Source organism: Homo sapiens, chromosome 12 (genome assembly GCF_000001405.40).
Source record: "Homo sapiens chromosome 12, GRCh38.p14 Primary Assembly".
Lineage (NCBI taxonomy): Eukaryota > Metazoa > Chordata > Mammalia > Primates > Hominidae > Homo > Homo sapiens.
The window spans coordinates 75,182,117-75,204,781 of NC_000012.12; the positions used below are offsets into that span (position 1 = coordinate 75,182,117).

The 22,665-nt window shown below is 34.5% G+C and overlaps 1 protein-coding gene across 28 annotated transcripts in view; it reads right to left on the reverse strand.

Annotated features, from left to right (window-relative positions):
* The window catches only part of KCNC2 (potassium voltage-gated channel subfamily C member 2), a 169,762-nt gene that overhangs the window by 142,039 nt on the left and 5,058 nt on the right, over positions 1–22,665 (reverse strand). Inside the window, exon 2 of one of the 28 annotated variants that reach the window (XM_006719390.5) lies at positions 9,766–10,182. The exons of the other annotated variants lie outside the window; for them this stretch is intronic. Coding sequence (XP_006719453.1) covers positions 10,102–10,182 — 81 coding nt within the window. The 3' untranslated portion in view covers positions 9,766–10,101. Of the gene's footprint in view, positions 1–9,765; positions 10,183–22,665 lie in introns of those variants that run through there. 28 annotated transcript variants of the gene reach the window in all.

Genomic DNA, 22,665 nt, shown 5'->3' on the forward strand with positions numbered 1-22,665 from the left:
CCCAGGTAGTCTGACTTTCAAAGCCCTGCCCTGTCCACTCCATGACAACTGCCTCTGCATGAATGCTTCAACAAGGTAATATGTATAAAGTGCATACCCTGCTTGTCACTTAGAAAGCACTGACTATGGCCGGGGGTGGTGGCTCACGCCTGTAATCCAGCACTTTGGGAGGCCGAGGGGGGCAGATCACAAGATCAGGAGATGGAGACCATCCTGGTTAACACGGTGAAACCCCATCTCTACTAAAAATACAAAAATTAGCGGGGCGTGGTGGCGGGTGCCTGTAGTCCCAGCTACTTGGGAGGCTGAGGCAGGAGAATGGCGTGAACCTGGGAGGCGGAGCTTAGTGAGCCCAGATCGCGCCACTGCACTCTAGCCTGGGCGACAGAGCGAGATTCCGTCTCAAAAAAAAAAAAAAAAACAAAAAAAACAAAAAAAAACAAACAGAAAGCACTGACTGACTCTATGATACTCTCTAAGGTTTTCAGTCTCTTACTCAAAACCTTGAGGGCCAGATGTATTTCAGAATTCTGAATTTTTTAGATTTTTAGAAAGGCAATATGGCATCCTGAACATGTGCATATGTTATGTTAACACCTCCAGCAGGGTTTGGGGCCGCACCCCATAATCAAGCACGTTAATATTTCTGTAGCAATCAAAACATTCACACTAAGTGGGATAAATAAAGAAAACTATAAACAGCCTCACCTCACTTCAGTTTTGCTGCAAATTAGTTACCAAAATTCTGCTATTCCTAGAGCTTTTTCAGTTTTGGAATTGAGGACAAGAGATTGCGGGCTGTTTTATGCCATGCAGTGTACTGAGATGGTGCTGGGGACATGAGATGAATGAAGCACAGTGAGCCTAACAGCAGAAGAGGGAAGACAGATGAATACATGGCCATCCGGCCCTTCTGTCCCCAAACTGATGGAGTGGTTAGCAATCTGATCACTAATTCATAGTAGTTCATGGCTGAGAAGAGCTCAAAAGGTTATCCTTTTCAGGAAACTTACTTGTATGCTAACAGAGGCATTTGGAAATCATAGTGCATTAATTGAAAGGAGTCACTCCACTACTAGAATTTCCTGGCATTGTAGCAAAGTAACACAGTGTGAAAATTTTGTTGCCCCCCAAGCTCAAATATTCTCCACAAAGAGACTCCCCATGCAGAAAGCTCAAACCTGAAATTTGACCAATCCTTTGTGCTAAGCGAAGACGTGCTTCTACAACCAGGATCCTTTCTAAAACAAATTGTAGTCTATTATAGAAGATCACCACCATAATAAAAACATTAAACTTGCTTTTCAATGTACAAGCACAACAACAACAAAACAAAAAATATTGTGCCTAATGAAACAAAATTATCAACCATATTCAGGAGTCAAATAACCAGTACCCAGAAAGTCCTGGGAATGACAATACCCTGGAAATGAAAGCAAACTTTACATTCAAAATTTTTGTAAGATCTTATGCATCTTTGAAATATTATCCACATATGTTAAAAATTTTAACATAATCATTATGACTCGTTTCAAGTCCAACTGAATGATACCTCTGTCTTCTTGCAATAAAAAGGACATAAAAATATGGAGCAAGTTTCCTCTGAAATGGTCCCACATCTTTAACAATAAAAATCTGTTTTACCCTAGAATATGAAAATAAAATTGAAGAATGTTCATGTCTTAGAATATCGCTCTTAGGATAAGCCCAAATTCCTCAATGTGGCTCACCGGGTCCTCCACAATCTCCATCTGCCTTTGCCAACTTGCCACTTCTCTTTCCATTCCACCTCTCAGATTCTTGGAGTTCCAGCATTACTCAACTTTATATATTTCCCAAGGAGTATCATACCACTGGCCCACTTGATGCCCTTCATCTCACAGCTCACAAACATTCTCACCCCCACCCACTTCTCCATCCTATTCCCTACTGTTTCTTCAAGAATCTCTATAAACTTCACTTCTCCATCTCCTCCGCTTGATTAGATTCTCTTTCCATGTCTCCTGTAGACTGCCTATTATAACACTTATATTTGATAGTAATGCTTAGCTCAGCTTTTCTAGATGCAAGTTTTATAAGACTCGTGTAGTCTCTGTGTGGCGTCATTAACTAACACAGAGTCTTCCGTTTTGTAGAAACTCAAAGAACAAATTAATTTTGACAATTACATAGGCTTTTACAGGCTCTGAATATTTTTTATACTATTTAAGAGCATATGCATATTTTTCCCAGGTTAATCATCTAGTTCAGAGTCTCCATAGATGTGGGTTGGCTAGATAAGTAAACTTAAGCTAATACACTGAATTTAATCACTAATGATAACATCAACCACTGGTTTATGTTCTTCTATGCCTTCTGTGTGAAGTTGATTTATATATTTTTTTCATTTAAACCTTACTACATCTCCCTTTTCAGCAAGGAAAGGGAGAACTTCCTGGAAGTCATTAACTTAATTGACAGAGCTGGTATGTGCTCAGATCTAATTTCCCCCAGGTACTTTTTCTTTTTACTACCTTATGTTGCTTGATAAAAAAAATGCTGCCACACATTTATTTCTTTTCTGAATTAAGGAAAGGTAGGGTTCACCAAGCACAGTGTTCTCTTTTAATTATCTCATAGCACCTGGGAAAGATTATATGCAAAATATTCATCCAGTTCTGTATGATGCATTGACTGAAGAGCCACTTATGTACTTAAGTGCCTGCTTGTGAAATGATCTGTGAATCCACAGAGATAGAACAAAGATTAAATAATTATGGTGGTTACTTGCCTACTCCTCACTATTCAGAACCAGGGATAAGCATGATTGTGACAGTTGATATCTTCATAAGAGATTTTAAGTATGTAAGTATTCATTTGTGGACACATGAATGCAGGCTCTATCTGAAGGGAGCAGAAGCATAAAGCCGGAAGAAAACGCAGAATGAAATTTAAAATGATAGTAGACTTTATACCTGAAATGATTTCAGATATGTTGTATTTTCTCATAGAAGAAAGTAAAAGCAAGAGTTTAAAAAGAACTTAACTTGCAATTCTTAATAGAAATAGTAACATACTATATTTAATTAGGTAGTAGAGTATGGAATTATGAACATCTTTGGGCTATAACAGTGATAACGCAGGCTACTAAGGTTATGTGATTGATAAGTTTCAGTTATTATTCAATTTCTCTGTATTTTGGAAAACAAAATGCTACAATGCTATGGTTTGAAAGTGCCCCTCAAAGTTCATGTGTTGGAAACTTGATTCCCCATGCAATGGTATTGGGAGGTGGAGCCTCATAGGAAGTGTTTGGGTCATGGGCGCATGACCTGCATGAATAGATTAATGCTATTATTGCAGGAGCAGTTTCCTTATTAAATATTGAGTTTTGCCCACTCTCTGTTTCTTATCCTCTTCCTTCTCTTTTCCCTTATGTTATGGGATGACACAATAAGAAGGCCCACACTAGATGCTGGCACCATGATCTTGGACTTCTCAGCCTCCAGAACCATAATCCAAAAAAATTTTGTTCTCTACAAATTACCCAGTCTGTGATATTCTGCTATAGCAACACAAAACTAAGGCATACAAAATTTCAAGTCTACTAAATAAATGTACTATCATAATTTCTTGTATGTGTTAATTTAATTATAAATTTTATTGTAGGCTGGCTGTGGTGGCTCACTCCTGTAATCCCAGGATTTGGGGTGGCTGAGGCAGGTGGATCACCTGAGGTCAGGAGTTCAAGACTAGCCTGGTCAACATGGTGAAACTCTGTCTGTACTAAAAATACAAAAATTAGCCGGTCATGGTGGCAGGTGCCTGTAATACCAGCTACTTGGGAGGCTGAGACAAGAGACTCACTTGAACCCAGAAGGTGGAGGTTGCAGTGAGCCAAGACTGTGCCATTGCACTCCAGCCTGGGTGACAAGAGTGAAACTCTGTCTCAAAAATAAATAAATAAATAAATAAATAAATAAATAAATAAATAAATAAAAATTTTATTGTAATTAAATAAAGAAAATAGAGGTATAATTCTAGCGCAGTTACATAATACAAAAGAGTCTACAAATCATATACCTTGGGAAATTTTTTTCTGGCTTCTCTGAGGCGCCTTCTTGGAGTTCTTGAAACATCTGGTGCATTTTGAAGAAATACACAGGGCTCTCCCTTCCATGCATCTTGTGCCTCTGCACACCACTCCAATCAAAACAATCGATTCATGGAGCATGCACAAACTCAAGGCATTCCCAGTGTTGCCCTCTAACAGGAACAAATTTCTATTTATTTCTATGATAAGATTTTAGAATATGCATTTTTCCATGTTACTAATACTCTTTTCATAAATATTTTTCAGAATAGAATATTCTATCATGTGGATTGTTATAGTTTACGTACAACCCATCTCCTTCTGTTGTAAAAAAAGGTTATTATTATAAAATGTTCACTACTATGAAACAATTATTCAAGGGACACTTTTATGCAACAATTACTTTCCTCATATTTAATAAACTTTCTTTTATTTCCTGAAAGTAAGATTATTATATTGAGAAACAATTTTGCCAATTACAAAGACAACAGCATTTCAGCAGACTTCCCCTTGATTGAAAGAAAAACTGCCATTAACTTTCATGAAGAGATTCTTATTTTCATGATACTTTATTTTTTAGTTGTTGATACCTTAGCACATTAGGATGTCAAGTAATCAAAACTCTCAAATGTTGTCTTAAATAATGGCCAAGCTCAAAAACATACAATGTTGAGCTAAATCCTTATTTCACCAAATTGGTATCTTACATCTCAGTCCTTCAGTTTTACATGGAAAAGTAAATCCAAGTATAATTTTCTTTTTATTAGCCATCTTAACACACTGTGATATATTACTCTAAAGTGATGACTTTAAAAATACACATACCAAATTCAGATAAACAATTAAATGACCTCTTCCTTTTTTTAAAAAAGATGCCCTAAGAACAGTACTTTACCAAAGGTATTCCATGAAACTGGATGTTTTCAGAAAACTGACAAATTTGGAAGATAAGCACTTTCCCTTTTTGTTTTAAATGAAACTTGTAAGAGGCTTTAATACACAATGTGCATTGTAAATTTACAAGTGGAGGTAGTGTGTGTGACTCAGTACCCAAATGCAATTTATTTTTTATGAGCAATATCTCAAAGGAATTGTGTACCGAAGAACACATTTCTGCTCTAGGAGAGTACAACCTTAATATGATATTGCCATTATTTAAAATATGTTTGGAAGTCCTCTGTTGGAACTTACTTCAAATGACAATTTACCAAACACTGGAAAATCAGTCTCATTGAATTACAGTTATAGGATATGCTCTTTTGTTCCAACCTTTTTCTTTGTCCCAATATTCTCACATATCTTCCTTCGACTGCTTGTTCCTCACTTACTGAATTATGCGGAGCTTACAGTAGCGCAGGCTGGCACTGCTAGGGAGGAGAATTATTTGCAGAAGAGATATAGCGAAGGCCAAAGAGAGTGATTGTAGGACCCAGTTAAATGTGGTGGCCAGAAGCAACCTTACTTGGAATACATTATGGAGCAGACTGTTATTTAAGTTTAATTGCCCATTTACTATTGCCTGTCTGAAAATATCACAAGTCACACCATAAATATAATAACCCGACGACTATAAATGAAAATTATGAGAACCCAAATTGCCAGAAGAATGCATATACACATGTATTTAAAAATACACCTGTAACAAAAAGATGGATTTCTATACAGCACATAAGTAGTTACTGAGTTTTCCTCAGAGTATTGCCTTTGTGTATAATTATTTAGTAATAATTAAAAGCCCTCTTTTTGTCATAGTCATACCTTGTTTCATTAAAATATACTAGGAACAGACTATCAACATGCAAACAATAGAAGTTGTATAAGCAACAGTAAAAATAGAAATAGAAGGTAATTTGAAGTATGTTGGTCCAATAACGTTTTGATGAAAATGCCATGAAATTTCACCCTTTCTTAGCCCTAGGACCACAGAAATCACCTCTGGCAAGGACCCAGCCATGTCTGTTTTGTTCTGTCAGTGTGCTACTGGATGGCCAGAGGAGTTATCGATCTTTATTTGAGCACTAACTGTTTCAAAAATTAGAATTAGAGTTACAGTAGACTCTCTACAGCACCATAAATACATATAGTTGGAAAATTTTGTGTATAGGACTAATGCTAAAACAGTGAGAAAGACTGCAATGTAAAACCACCAAAGCTTCTTTCCGAATTCACTTTAAAACACAATGTAGTGTTGTTGGATTTAGCAAATAAAAATATAAGATCCTTATTTAACATTGGGAATTTCAGATAAGGAACAATTTTTAGCATAAATGTGAACCACAATTTAGTATAGATTCTTAGATTAAAAATATTTATTTACTATATATCTGAAATTGAAAGTTAATCTGGTATCATACTTTATCTGGCAGTACATCCATAAAAAAATAACAAGGTGGCCGGGCGCGGTGGCTTACACCTGTAATCCCAGCACTTCGGGAGGCTGAGGCGGGTGGATCACGAGGTCAGGAGATCAAGACCAGCCTGGTCAACATGTGAAATCCTGTCTCTACTAAAAATACAAAAAATTAGCTGGGCATGGTGGTGCGTGCCTGTAATCCCAGCTACTCGGGAGGCTGAGGCAGGAGAATCACTTGAACCCGGAGTTGGAGGATGCAGTGAACCGAGATCATGCCACTGCACTCACTGCAGCCTGGTGACAGAGTGAGACTCCATCTCAATAAATAAATAAATAAATAAATAAATAAATAAATAAATAAATAACAAGGTGACACACTATAATAGCCCAGGAAACTCAGTACAACAATAAACTACATGGCAAAATCCAGAAGGGTTTGTATTAGTCAAAATAACTGTTGAGAATAGTTAAGAGTTGATGATCATAGTAAATTGTGCTCAAGCTCTTGAAATGAAAATAGTGAATATTGACAGGACTAGTGAAATTTTAAAACTCCCTTCAGCTTGAAAGTTAGTTGGTGCAGGCATTGTCTCTGACTAGGGAAATAACATTAGCCAAGAATCAGTCCACCCATAATGTTTTGAAGACTGGGAGCTACTTTGTAAGAGGGATGAACCCTACTTCTCCAACAATATTGTTTTTCAGTCATTAGTGTTTTGATAGTTCAGGAGGTGAAGAAAGTTACCACCATGGTCACGTTCTCTACAACCAGCGGTGTAACAGAGGACAAGGGGTACTCCTGTGCATTGTTCCTTATCATCTGACAACCATTTCAAGGAGTCACAGAACTGAGGGAAGAAAGGGGATTACAGTTGCTTCCCTTGGAGATGCATTTGTAAGTTGAAGCAGTAGAAGCCTTTGGGGTCTAGCTTACTGAAAAGTGTACTTTTCCACCTAAAAAGCAGTCAATCCACCAGTCTGTTAGGAAAACACTTCTGTAAGTACCTACTGTGTACCAACCTGTGCTAGGCATCAGTAATTAATTAAACTTGTGCTAGGCATCAGTAATTAAACCTGTGCTAGGCACCAGAATTCATTAAACCTGTGCCAGGCTTCAGTAATTCATTATTTGTCTCCTCTGTACCACTTGATCTTTCATTCCCTACACCGCATTCAGAGTGAAGTTAGGCAATGGTATCAGGAATGTTGTCTATCTTCATTCTACACAGGGTTCATATCTAATGCAATTACAGTCAAAGCAGCAATAGAGGGTTGTCAGCTGCGCTCTGCAACTTATTGGCAAAAAAGACAATTATCTTCAAAACTGTCTTCTGTAACCTCGTGGATTTTCTACCTATGAGTCGATGAAAAAGAGACTCTTCTGTCCCCACCTCTCGCCAATACAAAAATCACTTGATAAATACCACCGGTTATTAGACTAAAGATTTTGAACATTAGCCTACCATTAAGCTTGATATAGTAATAGCTATGATTTATAGAATGTTCACTTTATGTCAGGCAGTCTGCTATGCACATTAAATATGTTATCTCATCTAATCCTCATAATACCCATTTATGAGGAGGTTTTATTATGAAATTGAAAAAGAAACTTAAATTATCCATGGTTATACAACTACTATGTTGTAGGGTCATATCCTTTGATTGTCCCATAACTACCTCTCTAGGCCCTCTTTCAATAGCTCCCAGTAGCCCTCTACCTCTGGTCATGCCTATCTTCTTTCAGTTCCTTTAATTTTCTTTGCTCTCATCTCTAAGACCTCTATCCCACTAATTTCTATTTCTTAAACACCCCTTATCTCCTTTGGCTAAGTTCTGTTCCTTTATATTTCAGTGTTGTGATAGTTCAGGAGGTGATGCTAACAATCAAAGGTTATGCTTTCCTTGGGGCCTTTCCAGATCCAAGATTTTGTTTTGGGGTCTTGTCTGTGCTCACAGCATAGAAATGTTTCTATCCTCTTTGTTTGCCTACACTTTATTATTTCTAAATGTTAGATAGCAGGTTTTAATAAACAAAATTGCACATCAAAAACTTGTGTACTAAGCTAAGATAACTTTCTTATGTGAATACAACAGAAAGATATCCTCGGATATATGAAGACACACAAAAATATATTATATTCAAGCTATTTCTTAGTTCCATAAAGAAATTGGAAAATATATAGCATATTACAAAGAGATGTTTCCAAATTGACTCCAGAGAAAATAATTTCAGAAAAGCAGTAGTAGCAATTAAACAGGTATAAATATGACTGAAAATTATGACCACAAAAGTAATTACAAATTATATGTATATAGTATAAATTAAAAGATACAAGATATAGACTATTAATAACTATTATAAATTATAAACTGAATTATCATTTATATATGGCATATCCACAAATAAACTAAGACAATAAGTTTAAATAATATTTCAATCAATAAGAATTCAGTAAGATAACTATACCTATGATTAATGTACTAAAAGTAGTAGCTTACTCATATGCCATCAATGACTAATTAAAGTGTAATGGACTGCAAGACACCATTCACAATAACAACCAGGCATAGAATATTTAGGAATAACATTTAAAATGAACATGTAGGACCTATATAAAGTAAGCTATAAAATTACTTTTTGAGATCTAAAACCAGATTTAAACAAATGAAAAGGTACTATGTTCTTGCCTGTGAAGGTTAAATTTAAAAAAAATCCTACGTATGCCCTCATGGATATAATTATCTTAGAGAAAATGAATTAACTAAACTAAATTTTTAATAGTCTTTGGGGAAAAAAAGACCATTTTCTTCCTCAGGCTATTCAATATTTTCTGAATTTTCCATTGTAAAAATATTTAAATTTATGATTTAAGAAAACTTTTTGTTTTAAAAATAAATAATTTAACTATAAAGACACCTCATCTTAAAACCACAAATTCATTCTAATACTTTGTTCTGAATATTATTATTATTATTATTATTATTATTTTTTTTTTTTTTTTTTTTTTTTTTTTTTTTTGGAGACGGAGTCTCGCTCTGTCGCCCAGGCTGGACTGCGGACTGCAGTGGCGCAATCTCGGCTCACTGCAAGCTCCGCTTCCCGGGTTCACGCCATTCTCCTGCCTCAGCCTCCCGAGTAGCTGGGACTACAGGCGCCCGGCACCGCGCCCGGCTAATTTTTTGTATTTTTAGTAGAGACGGGTTTCACCTTGTTAGCCAGGATGGTCTCGATCTCCTGACCTCATGATCCACCCGCCTCGGCCTCCCAAAGTGCTGGGATTACAGGCGTGAGCCACCGCGCCCGGCCTATTATAATCTATTTTATAAATTTATTTCATCTACTATCTTACAATGGTTTTTCCTAAAACAATACAGTTTTACCTAATCTCTATAATATTATAAATGAAGACTTTTTTCATTCTATTTACATGACCGCTATAATGTACCTATGCTTCTTTAAACACCTTTCTCAGTCCTGCTATTTGCCACAGCTCAGATGGACTATCTGGGCATAATTCAGTTTTACATGTAATAGTCTTTACAGCATTTGTTTGATGAAGCATATTCTAGATAGAATGTGGAAAAATTCACCTTTGGATATTTCTAATTTATTAAATGAAACAAAGTAACAACAGTGCGATAAATAGGGATTCTTTCTTTTTCCTGCGCTCCTTGTCTAATTTCCTTGCTGCCGCAACATCCATTCTTCAGCATCTTTTCCTAGGACACGGCATCCTTCCATGAAGGCCTCGTTTCCCTGTAATTAGCAGGACAATCAGTGCCATCTATTATTGTTAGTTAGAAGCTTCTCTACATAATGGGGACTTAGCATTTGGTCCCACCGGCGATGTTTCTGTGTAAAAACTTAAAGTACACTAATATGTAAATATTGTTCCAACTTAATGGTGTACTTTCTATGGAGACTCAGAGACATTTGTTAAGCCATCAAAGTGCATGGTTCTTACAAATGTATTCTCAGTGGGTAGATAATAAATTAAGTGTCACCGTCGTCCGAGTGATCCTTTTCAAGAATTTTTCATTTACTGTTAGTCTAAAAAGCTTCTTATGGCAATGAGAAAATCACACATTATGGCTAGGCTTCTAATTTTCTCAGTAGGATTGTGTATGTATTTGGGGATCAGAATAAATTAAAAAGTGGGAAAAGAAGGTGAGCTCAAAGAAAAGAAGAAGAAACATTGCCTTTGTGGGGAAGAATCATAGAGAAATACATCATTGTAGGCAAGGAAAATCACAGAATTATTCAGATGGTGATAAAAACCTAAGCTTTAGTAATCTATCGCACAAAATGGTGACCATAATAAATAATAATGCATTATATATTTTGAAATTGCTAAAAGAGTATATTTTAAGCATTTTCACCACAAAAAAAGTATGTGAGGTGAGAAATTTATTCATTAGCCAGATTTAGTTATTTTACATTGTAAATATATATCAAAATATCACATTGTACCCTATAAATATCTACAATTTTTTTAAAACCTAGTGAGAAAATAACCAGACACTGTTCATAACTCTGGGTAAAAACAACAACAACGACAACAAAATAGTGTTCCTATACACAAGTTTATAACTAGTATGAACAAGAAGCCTATACACATATAGTCCAACTGTAGTTGAAGATAGTAAACTTATCTTCTTATCCAAATTTTATTTAAAATGGTGAAAAATAATCACAGGGATGAAAAACAGGAAAAGTTATTATTATTGGACTAGAATACTGAGATATAAAGCAAATAGGATGAAAATAATGAATACATAGGTTGGAAGTGGAGTAATGTAATTCAATATAGGTAAAGAAAAGGGGTTGGTCCTTTTCTTCCCAAGGAAATCCGGAGGAGCCTCAAATTCAGAGGCAACATGTACTAGGAGAGGGAGCTGGCTATGGGACAACTGCTCAGAAGGTCTGGAATTTCTTTCAGTGTCTGGCTATAGAATTTGCCCTTAGAATATAGCTAGCAAGAACAGCTCTATAAATAGAGTAGGGAATCAACAGAAGAGAAGACAGTTCTAAATTAGGTATGTTGGTGTGATAAAGAAAAGTGGAGCAAAATCTAAGGTACCTTCATATTTCCTCAAAGTGCATGGAGAAAAAGAAAAAGGAAAGGTAACCCCATATTGATTGAAATGCTCTAAAGTTCTATCTCCAAATAAAACTTACTTTTTTAGACCTCCACAATACCCCAATTTGCCGGCCTGCTCCTATCCACCCACCCTGAAGGGAATCCTGTGTTCTGCACAATCCTGCCAACCTACCCACAACACACTATATTCACCCAACTCTCTTTCAGAGTAAAAGATATCTGAAGAGATTCAATAGTATAAAATGCAACAACCAAGACGAGCAAATGAAAAAGAAATTCCATAGAGGGACTAGAGTTAATGCCAGAAATAAAATAGAATTTAAAGAATTTTCCAATTAGTATCTTCAGAAAGATTCACAAAGACATTATAGTCATTAAGATACAACACGCAGATATGAAAAAAAAGAGTAACCAGAAAATAAGAAAGATTCCCTGAATATTGCAAATGTGTTGTCAAAATGGAAAAATTAGGGTACTGGGTTCAATAGTGTCCCTCAAAATTCATGTCTACCCCAAACCTCAGAATTAAATTTTAGCTAATTTAACAATTAGTTAAATCAAAATGGAGCCATGCTGGGCTAGAGTGGGCCATAATCCAATTGACTATTGTCCTGATAAGAAGAGAAAACAGAGACCCATACACTGAGGGCAAGGCGAGGCCAGGGGAAGGGGATCATCATGTGAAGATGGAGATGCATCTACAGCCAAGAAACACAAAGAAACTCCAAGAATTGCAACCACCAGAAGCTAGCACTGAGTCATGAAACAGATTATCTTTTAGAACCAGTAGAAGAAACCAAGCCTGCCAAACTAGCTTCTAGCCTCCAAAACTGTAAGACGATAGGTGTCTGTTGTCTTAAGTCACCCCTTTGAAGTCATTTGGTTGTGGTGATTTGTTATGGAAGCCTTAGGAAATTAATACAGTTTAGTTAAGTGCTATAATACAATGTCTATAAAGTGACGTGGAAACTCAGAGAGAGAAATTAACTGCTTTGGAAGAGGTGTTTAAAAATATTTGATAACTAGAGAATACATGTCTTATATCCAGGAAGGGCAAAAACTGTGGTTTGAACATGACTATGCTTTTGGCAGTGGAGTTGTAAGGAAAATGACTAGGAGCATAGGTAGTAACAAGATTCTGAAGAACCATTCTATGGAATCTTAGTATGTAGTCAAGGAAAACAGATAAAGTTCTTTTAAAACAAGAAAATGGTGTGGTATATATGTGTCTTGGAAGGAATGACTGCCTTGTTTCTGAAGTCACCATCTTCCCAGTTTAATACCTGCTTTCATTTTTATTTTTCTTCCTCACTACCTTTGCTCTTTCTTCTACTTTTCTACAGTGAGTTTTATGTAAAGCAATTTTCCAAAGAGTATTTTGAACTTCAGAATCACATTATCATTTTCATTTAATCCTAGTTCAATTCAAATTTCTAGCTTTGGAATCCACATGGATTTCTACATGGGACAGGCAGTTCTGTTTCATAGAAACTGTGCAAAAACTAATATTATTTTCTTGGGCTTTAAATAAAGTAGTAGCAATATAAAGCCTGTATTTCTTGTACAGAGGATTGCTTATCTCACTAACTTGTTATGGTGGTGGGTGAATTACATTAACCAAAAATCTTAACTGGCATACTCAGCATCTAATTTCATAACCATAAAACCTATGAAGTAGCCTTCTATAATTAGGTAGTTTATACAGAAATATAAAAGAAAAAAATCACAAAATATAATACCAAATATTATAGTGTTAAATCTTGTAAAAGAATAACTAACTACTCATGAGCCAGATACCCAAATAGTAACCATTGAATCTTGAATGAGAAAGAAGTCATAAAGTTTCTCTTGTCCCATAACACAAAGAGAAACTAAGGGAACATTCTTGACTTTTCTTGTTGCCTCATTCACTCCTACCTAATTAGTCAAAACTCCTCTTCAACTGTGTCCACTTTACCATTTTACTTCATTCCTCTTGCTGCTGTCTTATTTCAAGGTTCAATGTTGTCTCCTACCACCTGTGTTACTTCAATAACACACTAAACTGTGGCCCTCTTGAAAAACTTACACTCACCCTCTCCAACCCAATCCCCTCTTCAGCTACAAAGGTTTCAGAATGATATTGCCGATTACAAATTTGTTTGCCGCTGCTCTTAAAATCCTTCAAAATCTCTCCATTACCAGCAGAGAAAGACCAGAACTTCTCAAGAGAACTTGTCAAGCATTCCCAGCCAACCTCAGGGACTGTCTCCTGGTGTACCTCCCCACCCTTTGCTCAATGCTCCAGTGGTATTTAATTATTCACAGTACCTCAAACAGGACAAACAGTCCATGCCTTCCTTTCCTGTTGAAACTATTTAGGCTCTTCCCACTGTCTGAAAAATCTATCTCCTCTTCATCCTGTGGTACCAACAAAGACTGGAACATTTTTCCAATGCTAGCAAAGCTGTGTTAACCTCCAAATCACCCTGTGCTCACTTCTACTGCAGATATTATGACATTGCACTATCATCATCCTTTGGTTGTTTTCTTACAATAGACTACAAGTGTGTTAAAGGCTGGGAATATGCCTTCACCTTGCCGCTTGCAATATGCCTGATTTATAGTATGTATATTGGATATTATTTTAATTAATTACCATTTAATCATAAATGAAATAATTACTTCTACAACTGCCCAGACAGTCATTTAGAATCCACACAGAAAATCTCAGGGAGAGACAACTTATTTCTTCATGAACATTCTAAACACCAGAAAGGCTTCTTAAAGTAGGCTACTATAAACGCCTCACCTCCAGAAATGAGCAATGCTTGCCTCAAGGAATAATAGCAATGATAATGTTAAGAGTAATAATAATACAAATGACATTTCTAGAACCAGGTCTGGATTCTTAACATAAATGTGCTCAGTCTTTCCTCGTAGCACTCTACTGAGTCAGACACTATTATTTTCTCCCTGGTCCAGATGAGAAAAAAGGAGGCTTAGAGAATTCCCTGAAGAAAAGACAGCAAGCAAGTTGTTGAGTCAGAATTCATATTTAGCGTATTCAGTCAAGTCCTTAACACTAATACACTAATTAGCTTCCATCTCAAAATCAACTATCAGAAGTCAGCCAGTTAGTTACTTAACTCCTTGACTAAGAAGACATGCAATTAAAAAACAACTATATAACTTTATTTTTAACTTTTTTCCAAATTCTTCCATCCATGAAAGTATTTTGAGAGAAAACACCTGTTAACATCCTGCTGAACTACAGGTAACCAGTTCTAATACTGGTCTAAGCTTGATTTGTCTCTTAATTCATTGTTGAATTGTATTTGTTTTTTCTGCAGTTGTAGCACAATACTGGCACATAGTGAGCAAGTAGCCAACTGTGCTCAAAGTGCATTCACCTGATATGAATCATACCCAAATCCCACTGAATGAGGATCTCTGGGGTGAGACCTGAGTTGCACAATTTTAGTCAACATCTTAGGTGATTCATAGGCACATTCAAATTTGTGAACTGCAAATTTTAAGTAAACTGATAAAACAGTGTCCATTGCTGTCCTGGACTGAGAGTCTTACATCTAAGCAGGATATCTTACATATAAGCCCAGTGGTCCCCTCCTTCCCAATTTCCACCCTCCCTGTTCTCTCAAGCCTGTTATTCTGTCTTTGCCATGTTTCATGCCTTCAGATCTTTTTATTATTCAATGTTACATGACATGATATTCCCCGTTAAGCCTTCATGTTTGCTCACTACTCCACTGACCTTCCCCTTGATTTTTGGAAAATGCCTACTTATCTTCTGGGAGTTAACCAAAATGTCATCTTTGTTTCCTCCTTAACCTGTGGGTCTACACTATATCAATGTCTCTACTATATCACTTAGTGCACTATAACTGTGAATTTATAGTTCTTCTTTTCCTACTGAATACAAGTGTTGCGAAGGCAAGTGCTAAATTTTAATCCATTTTGCATTCTTAGAACATAACCTAGTTCTGGCCAACAGTTGAAATTCAATAGTTGTCAACTAACAGATTCAAAAGCATTAGAAACTCTGATGCTTTTTTTCTTTCCCAGTTTGTTTAGTTAAAGGAGAATGTACAAATCCTGACAACAACATGCTACTTTATCATCCAATCAGTGTGGACAAAGTAGAGGAAACACAAAAGACTATAGTGATAAAGAAACCCAGCGTTGAAGTACAAAGTCAAGTACTCTGACAACTGCACTTACATCTAAAAAACAAACATTACTAAGAAATCACCTAAGATAGATAAATCAGCGATGAATTGAATCAATGATGAAAAAAATTGAAAAAGAATCAGATTTTTTAAAACACTCACTAAATTAAAAAAATCTTGCAACTGATAGCAAGTACATACTACAATTAAGAATTAAACAGTAAATTTATAGAAAACATGAGGCAATTAATTAAAGACAATCCTGCTTTTGCATCAAGTCTAATCATTTTTTAATGTCACTAAAGCCTAATAATACATTAAAATATGTTTGATCTTATTAGTTTGCTTAAATTCTATATTTCTAGCATTGCATTCTAAGTATCAAATTACAGTCAACATTATGTGCCTGGGAATTAAGCATAAGCATACAGCATACACAAATGATACAAATATGAAAGTTGCTCAACTTTGACGCATCCACTAATTATTTTAGATGATGGTGATAGGTTCACTCAGGCCTAATTATAAAGTTATAATATATTTAAAAAATTAAAGATAACTGCTATTTTCGATTCTGTTTGTACAGAGAAAAGTCAGTTAAGGTTCTATTCTGCCCATTTCCTACTCAGTCTACTTGGTTGCATTAAGAGAATTCTAGTAACTTTCATAATATTCCTCTCATTGCTCCTACAAGAAGCCTAAAAGAGAGAAGCAGAACAACTTAAATGATAAGTCAAACTGTAATAACTATTGTTATATTTTCCTAAATACCAATTTTACTACTTTTATCTAAAAATTAATACATCAACATCGGTAAGGAAGTTTGTTACTGCAATGATTATTATGCCATCATTTCCGGTACAATTATTATACAATATTCACTTTTAGCAAATAGCATTTAATCCTAAGTCAATAAACTTAAAAGTACCAAAATCAAGAACCCCATATCTGAATTTCTATTCTATAATTTGCAAGCATAGACACAAATTTTACATAAATTCTGAATAATGTCTGGCCTTCTCATGGAGCACAAAATGACAAAAAACTCAAAAAAATTTATATTGGTCCAAATAGTTTTTGCTTAAACATAATTTATAAACATGTAATATATATTTAGAGTCAATTAATATTATTTGAATATATGGGCAATATTATTTAAATCACGACATTTTATAAAAGATGTCTTTGCATTTTATTATTTACTAAACAATTTTAAAATCCTGGATAAAATATTGGTGTAAAATAAGAGAATTTATGCAACCAAAAGTTGATTACTTTTTCTTTCTAGGTCTCTCATCATAGAGACAACTCAAAGGAAAACACCTTTTACTGCTAAGACTAAATTACAGAAAAAACTGTCAAGAAAGACTATCTTGGCCTTTGCTCCAATTTTTAAAGATGTCTACAGCACAGTCAGATATTGTTGAAGAATGGCAAACCTCTAAGATTTGATAGCACACCAACCAGGGGCTTCAAACAAAGAATGAAGGAGACACTACTGAAGTGTCTGCATGAGATTTTCTGGACACATAAAACAATGAGGAAATGTCAGTTTAGCAAGATGTTGGTATCATGATCAACTTTCAGGAAAGAAGACCAGTCAAGTAATTGCAGTAATCATGGAGTATTTTTGCCCAACATTACCCATAACATTTTGCCCCAAGTTCTTCTGCTTTGATTTCTATAAAATGTATTTTCTAGGACACTCCCAAATTACAACACTGCTTTACATTCCCATCACATCATCTTTGGCTTACTGTTCATTAAAGAATATTCAGGGAAATTGTTTTTTCTGTATTGTATTTACTGACCTTACAACAACATTTAACTTTGTTTGCAGATCTCCAATAGCTCTAAATGCTTTTCTCTTCAATTCACCAGTCATCCCTGGGAAAACCCACCATGACCTGGTTATTTACATTTGAGAAGATGATGTTCTATTGCCAATAGGTTGAACCAGTGTTGCATTAAAAATAAATAAATCAAACAAAAGTAGAAAAACGTATTATAAAAGACTTATACACAAAAGGGCCAAAGGAAAAATAGGTATCATTTCTTAATTATCTAAATATCTTCTGGCTCAGCTTGGGAGGTAAGCTCCTGCAGGTCTTCTCATAGGTGTTACAAGCTGAAGGGAAAAAAAGTGGTTAAGTGCATAAGCAGGCTATTTTTAAGGCTTTTTAGGAAGACAATAACATGTAAAACTAGTGGGGAAGGTAGCAATGGAAGACTGCAACTGGAAGGGAATCTTGAAAATAAGGCAAATCCCTAAAATAATGACATATTTCTGATATTGTTGAACAATAAGACATGGAAGGGATCAGAGCCTATCCTTCCTAACAGTCTTGCTGCTTCCCGACAGCTAAAATTTGTGCATTTAGTGTTAAACACAGTATAAACTAAGCAATCAAAATTGAACAGAATGAACACTTAATCAGAAGTCACAAGATCTAAATACTAGCCCTGCCATTGTCGTTAACTTATCATGGCTGAAACATGTCAGTTGTCTTCTCTGTGAATTGAGGCAGTTGTGCCAGATGATTGCCAATTTTCTTCCAGTTCTAATCAGCATAAACACCAGAAGTCTATCACATATTTCTTCACCAATTTCACTAATATAATATATATTTTGGACACATATAATAACATGCACACACGCACTTCTCAAACAAAACTTAAAGCCATATTCCCACAAATCTATTCTATCTCTTACCCACATACAAATTTTACAAACATGTTCCCTGAGTATGTGTCTGTATTACAACAGTGAATATATATTTGAATATATATTCTTTTTATGTATATACATATACCCTAAAAATAGAAAAATGATTTTCTAAAAACAGAAATATGGAGCACTATACACTATACATACACATTCATTTTAAAATAATCTTCACTAGTGAGCACATTAAAATATATCTTAATGAACATTATGAACAAAATATAATTTTAACTTATGAAGTGTGCTAGACAGCACACTATTTTCTACGTTTATTCTAATAGAATGGGTTATGGAAGAGATTAGAATTGAATAATTTGACACTATTTTGTAAACACTTAAATATGTTAGGCATAGTGTAAGTCCTCAAGAGAATAAGACTGTCCCTTTTATATAAAATATGAAAAGGGGAAAAACATGGTGTTGTTGATAAGATACTTTTCAAGTGAAAATGCGACTGAGATTATCTAATCGGTTACCCTTGCAGGTGGTTGGATATACACCTGCACTGAATCTTAGACCTAAGAAATGACAGAGCTGAACATCTTCATGGGTTTCATGACAGAGCCACAGCAAAATGATTTCCTGAGATCAATATGTGGTTGAGAGAAAGCTGTTTTCAATGGAAACAGGAAGCTGGGAGCTAACCTGTTTCTATGGTAACCACAGCAGTAGCTACCCAACAGCTGTAGGGAAAAAAAAGGGCAGAAAGTTACAAACGAAATTGGAAAAAAAAAAAAAAAAAAAAAAAAAAAAAAAAAAAACCAGATTCTGGTTTACTTTATTAGTGTGATGGTCCTTGGAGTGCAATCTGAATGGGCATGAACATGTCGTCCCTTCCTCTCTCCCCCAGAATCTTTAGCAATAATTATCCTACAAATCTCAAAATTTTAGAGCTGAAGTTTAGATACTATCTAGTCCAATGTGTCATCTCAATGTTTGGGTTTTATTTTTCAGAATAAAGCAAAGGAAATCAAGATTTAGGAAGATGAAGTAAATTCTCCAAGTTCACACAACTAGTGTTGAAATCAAGACTGGAGCGTAGGTCTCTTAGGTCTCAATTCAGGCATTTTTCAATTCTTTTTCCACATAATATCCAGTCCTGCTCTGTTCTCCTCCCAACACTCACATTCTATTCACTTTCTATGAAAATATTGACTACACCGTGTTAGGATTATTACCATCCCTCAACCTGCACGGAAGGCAAAAAAGCAGTGCTTTTCTGTCTTAAAAGAATATTTTGACTGCTCTTCTCGAAGAAAAGCCCTTCATATTTCAACCAGAATTGAATTAAGTTTATGGAATATATTGAAGGTTATTTTTTAGACTATTTTTCCACTATATATTTTCTTCTACAGGTCTGTGTTTATCTTTAATGCCCTTTACTATTTTATTTAGACACATTTCTAAAGGTTCCCACAATAAAAAGAATACATGGCTCAGAAGTTCAAAGAATACAATACTTGAAAATGACATTTACTTTATTTGTCATAGTAAAAATTGATGGCAATGATAAACATTTTCAAATGCAAAATCTACAAAAAGGTTGATCTATACCTTCCTTTTCAGTTGCTTTGAAAATGAGTTTACTGACAAAGATAAAAAACTTTCCTTGTCTTTTATTTAATTTTGTCAACTCAGGTCTACAAGTGAGCTCTTAGCAAAATATTACAGAAGAGATCATACCTAATCTATCCAACTATATTCACTTTTTGCACACCTAATGTCCAACCATAAATCAGGCCACCTCATATGTATATCACTTGTATGTATATTTAGTTGGCAATTAAATTTACTTGATTATTTTAGTGATCTATTAATCAGGTACTCTCTGATTCTATCCAATGCTTAGACTATAAGCATAAAATTAAATTTATTTATAAGCCTTTTGACCCTGAAAAGGTCAAAAGACACTTCAATGCTTAGGTGGAAAGTGCAAACACACTGGACTATTATAGCAGACTCTTTTGAGGAATATGAAGTTTGGGTATGCATTGTCATGATGTTGGCCATGACTTTTAATTAAATAGAAATAATGAAAGAAACTTGGCCACACCTCCAAATAGCTCAATTGTTGTTTGGTATAAGTACAGTCTTCATTATATTGTAAGGAGAGAGCCTGTAAGTCATTGTGAAAACAGAAAAATAAAGAATTTAAGAGCCTAATATTTTGTAATAAAATAAAGACCAATAATACCTTAACATCATCATTTCTAAAAGGAATATTTTACTGCATGTGTCAGGCAATATTCCTATGTGAGTTTTTTTTTTTTAGGAAAATGTATTTTTAACACCTCTAGAATTTTATTTGCCATAATCTTGTTTTTTTTTAATTTAATAGATAATGCCTTTAGGAAACGTTTTATTACAAATAGAGAGGTGAGCTCATTGAAGGCAAAGGATTATATCTTCTCCATGCATTCCCAGTACTTTTCATAGTTTTCAGTCTACAGTGACTGTGTAATCAATATTCATTGAATAAATGTGCTTTCTAAAATTTTAATAATTGACAACAATATTTTATGAATAAGCTATATTTAGCCATTAATTCTTTTAATTAGAACCACTCTTACAAAACAAGACTTAATACATTTTCTTCCTTTAATCTTAATATATGATTCAAATTGTTCCTATACCTTATTATAATTTTTAAAAATCAAGTGCTACATTTAATACTAGCAAATGTTTATTTAGATCATGTCTTTCTTGTTTTGTTTTGTGGCTTGGCGAAGAGGAAAAAGTGGCCCATACAAAGTAAATTAAATATTTGCAAATTTGAGTCTAATGCTAGAAATTAAAATTTCCATTTTAATGGCTTCTACGGAGTACGTTTTGGTAATGCTGTAGAAGTAATCTATAATGCTAATAATATGAATATTTTCAAGATTTAAAAAATGATAGATTCGCTATCACAATCCCTGTATGATGCAGAAGGATCGTATATGAGATACAACCCATATTGTATTTCAACAACAGTAAATGAGATAAAGGTCAGGGGAATGTATGTGAAAGAGCTAGAAACACATCAAAAAGGCAACATCTTAAGTGGGGTTCCATGGCAGTTATTATTTTGTTTTTTCTTTTCTAAAATGTGCTTTAAAAGTAAAAAACAGAAGATCTGCCAAGTAATCAAAGATATGCATAAATCACCAAGGAAGAGCCAACATTCTAAAACAGAGCTGAATTCAATCATCTCCCCTACCCTATAAAAAATATAAGTGAAAAGAAGAGAAAGAGAAACTTATAACTGCTCTCAGCTGTTTAATATTCCAAACAGATTCTTCAAAATTGTCTTTTATTTTAGTATTTTGTCCTTATGTGATTTTTAAAAACTTCTAAAAATCTAGAAACTCTATCAAGGAATTTCTGCTTGGTACCTGTCCTCTTATATATGATACATTCTTCAAAGGAAAGCACATACAAGCTTCATGTTTTTCTAACACTTACACATTAAATTGAAAATATACAGTGCATCACATTTTTACAAATATATTTATGCATCCTTGTTTTTTACTGTTTGTAAATATCACTCACTAGCATCAACAAAATAAACTCTCATTTTTTTCCTGATCTCGTTTTCTCCACAACAGGTTTCCATGACAACTTATATTTGAATTTTTATAAATTTCTATTTTTGAATACTATTCTTAAGAATAAGAATTTAAATGTATAAAATATACACTTATTTACCAATTGAAATACAACAATATAGACCCCTCATATACGTATTTACTTCATAAATTAAAAATCACAGAGGAGAGGGACATGCCAACCAAAACAAAAGGCAAAAATGCAGGGTTGCAAAATTCAATTAATTATTCAGTTCCTATCACCGTTGTTTTGTCTGCCATTTAAATCACAAAAATTACAAACAAAGCACATCTATTATATAACTGATCCAATCCTTTCAATATTGGAGAAAAAAGAAAATTGTGAAACAGGTATAATGAGTTGAAAAGGGAAATTTAGAGAGTTAAAATTTTTTGTGTCAAATATTTCAATGAAAGATGAGCTAATGTTAAAAAATAAGAGTGTTTATAAAAGTTTAAATACTTCTATTAAGAATGAGACTCATGATAATAAGAACTGAAGCAAACCACTTGATAAATGTTTTATGTTTCCTCGAATTGTGTCGATGCAAAATATAATTTCAACTTGTGGCCTCCACATATGATTCTATTTTTCAAACTAGTCAGATAACGTTGTCAGGTTATCATCTTAACTAAAAGTGCTCAGGTAAAAATATT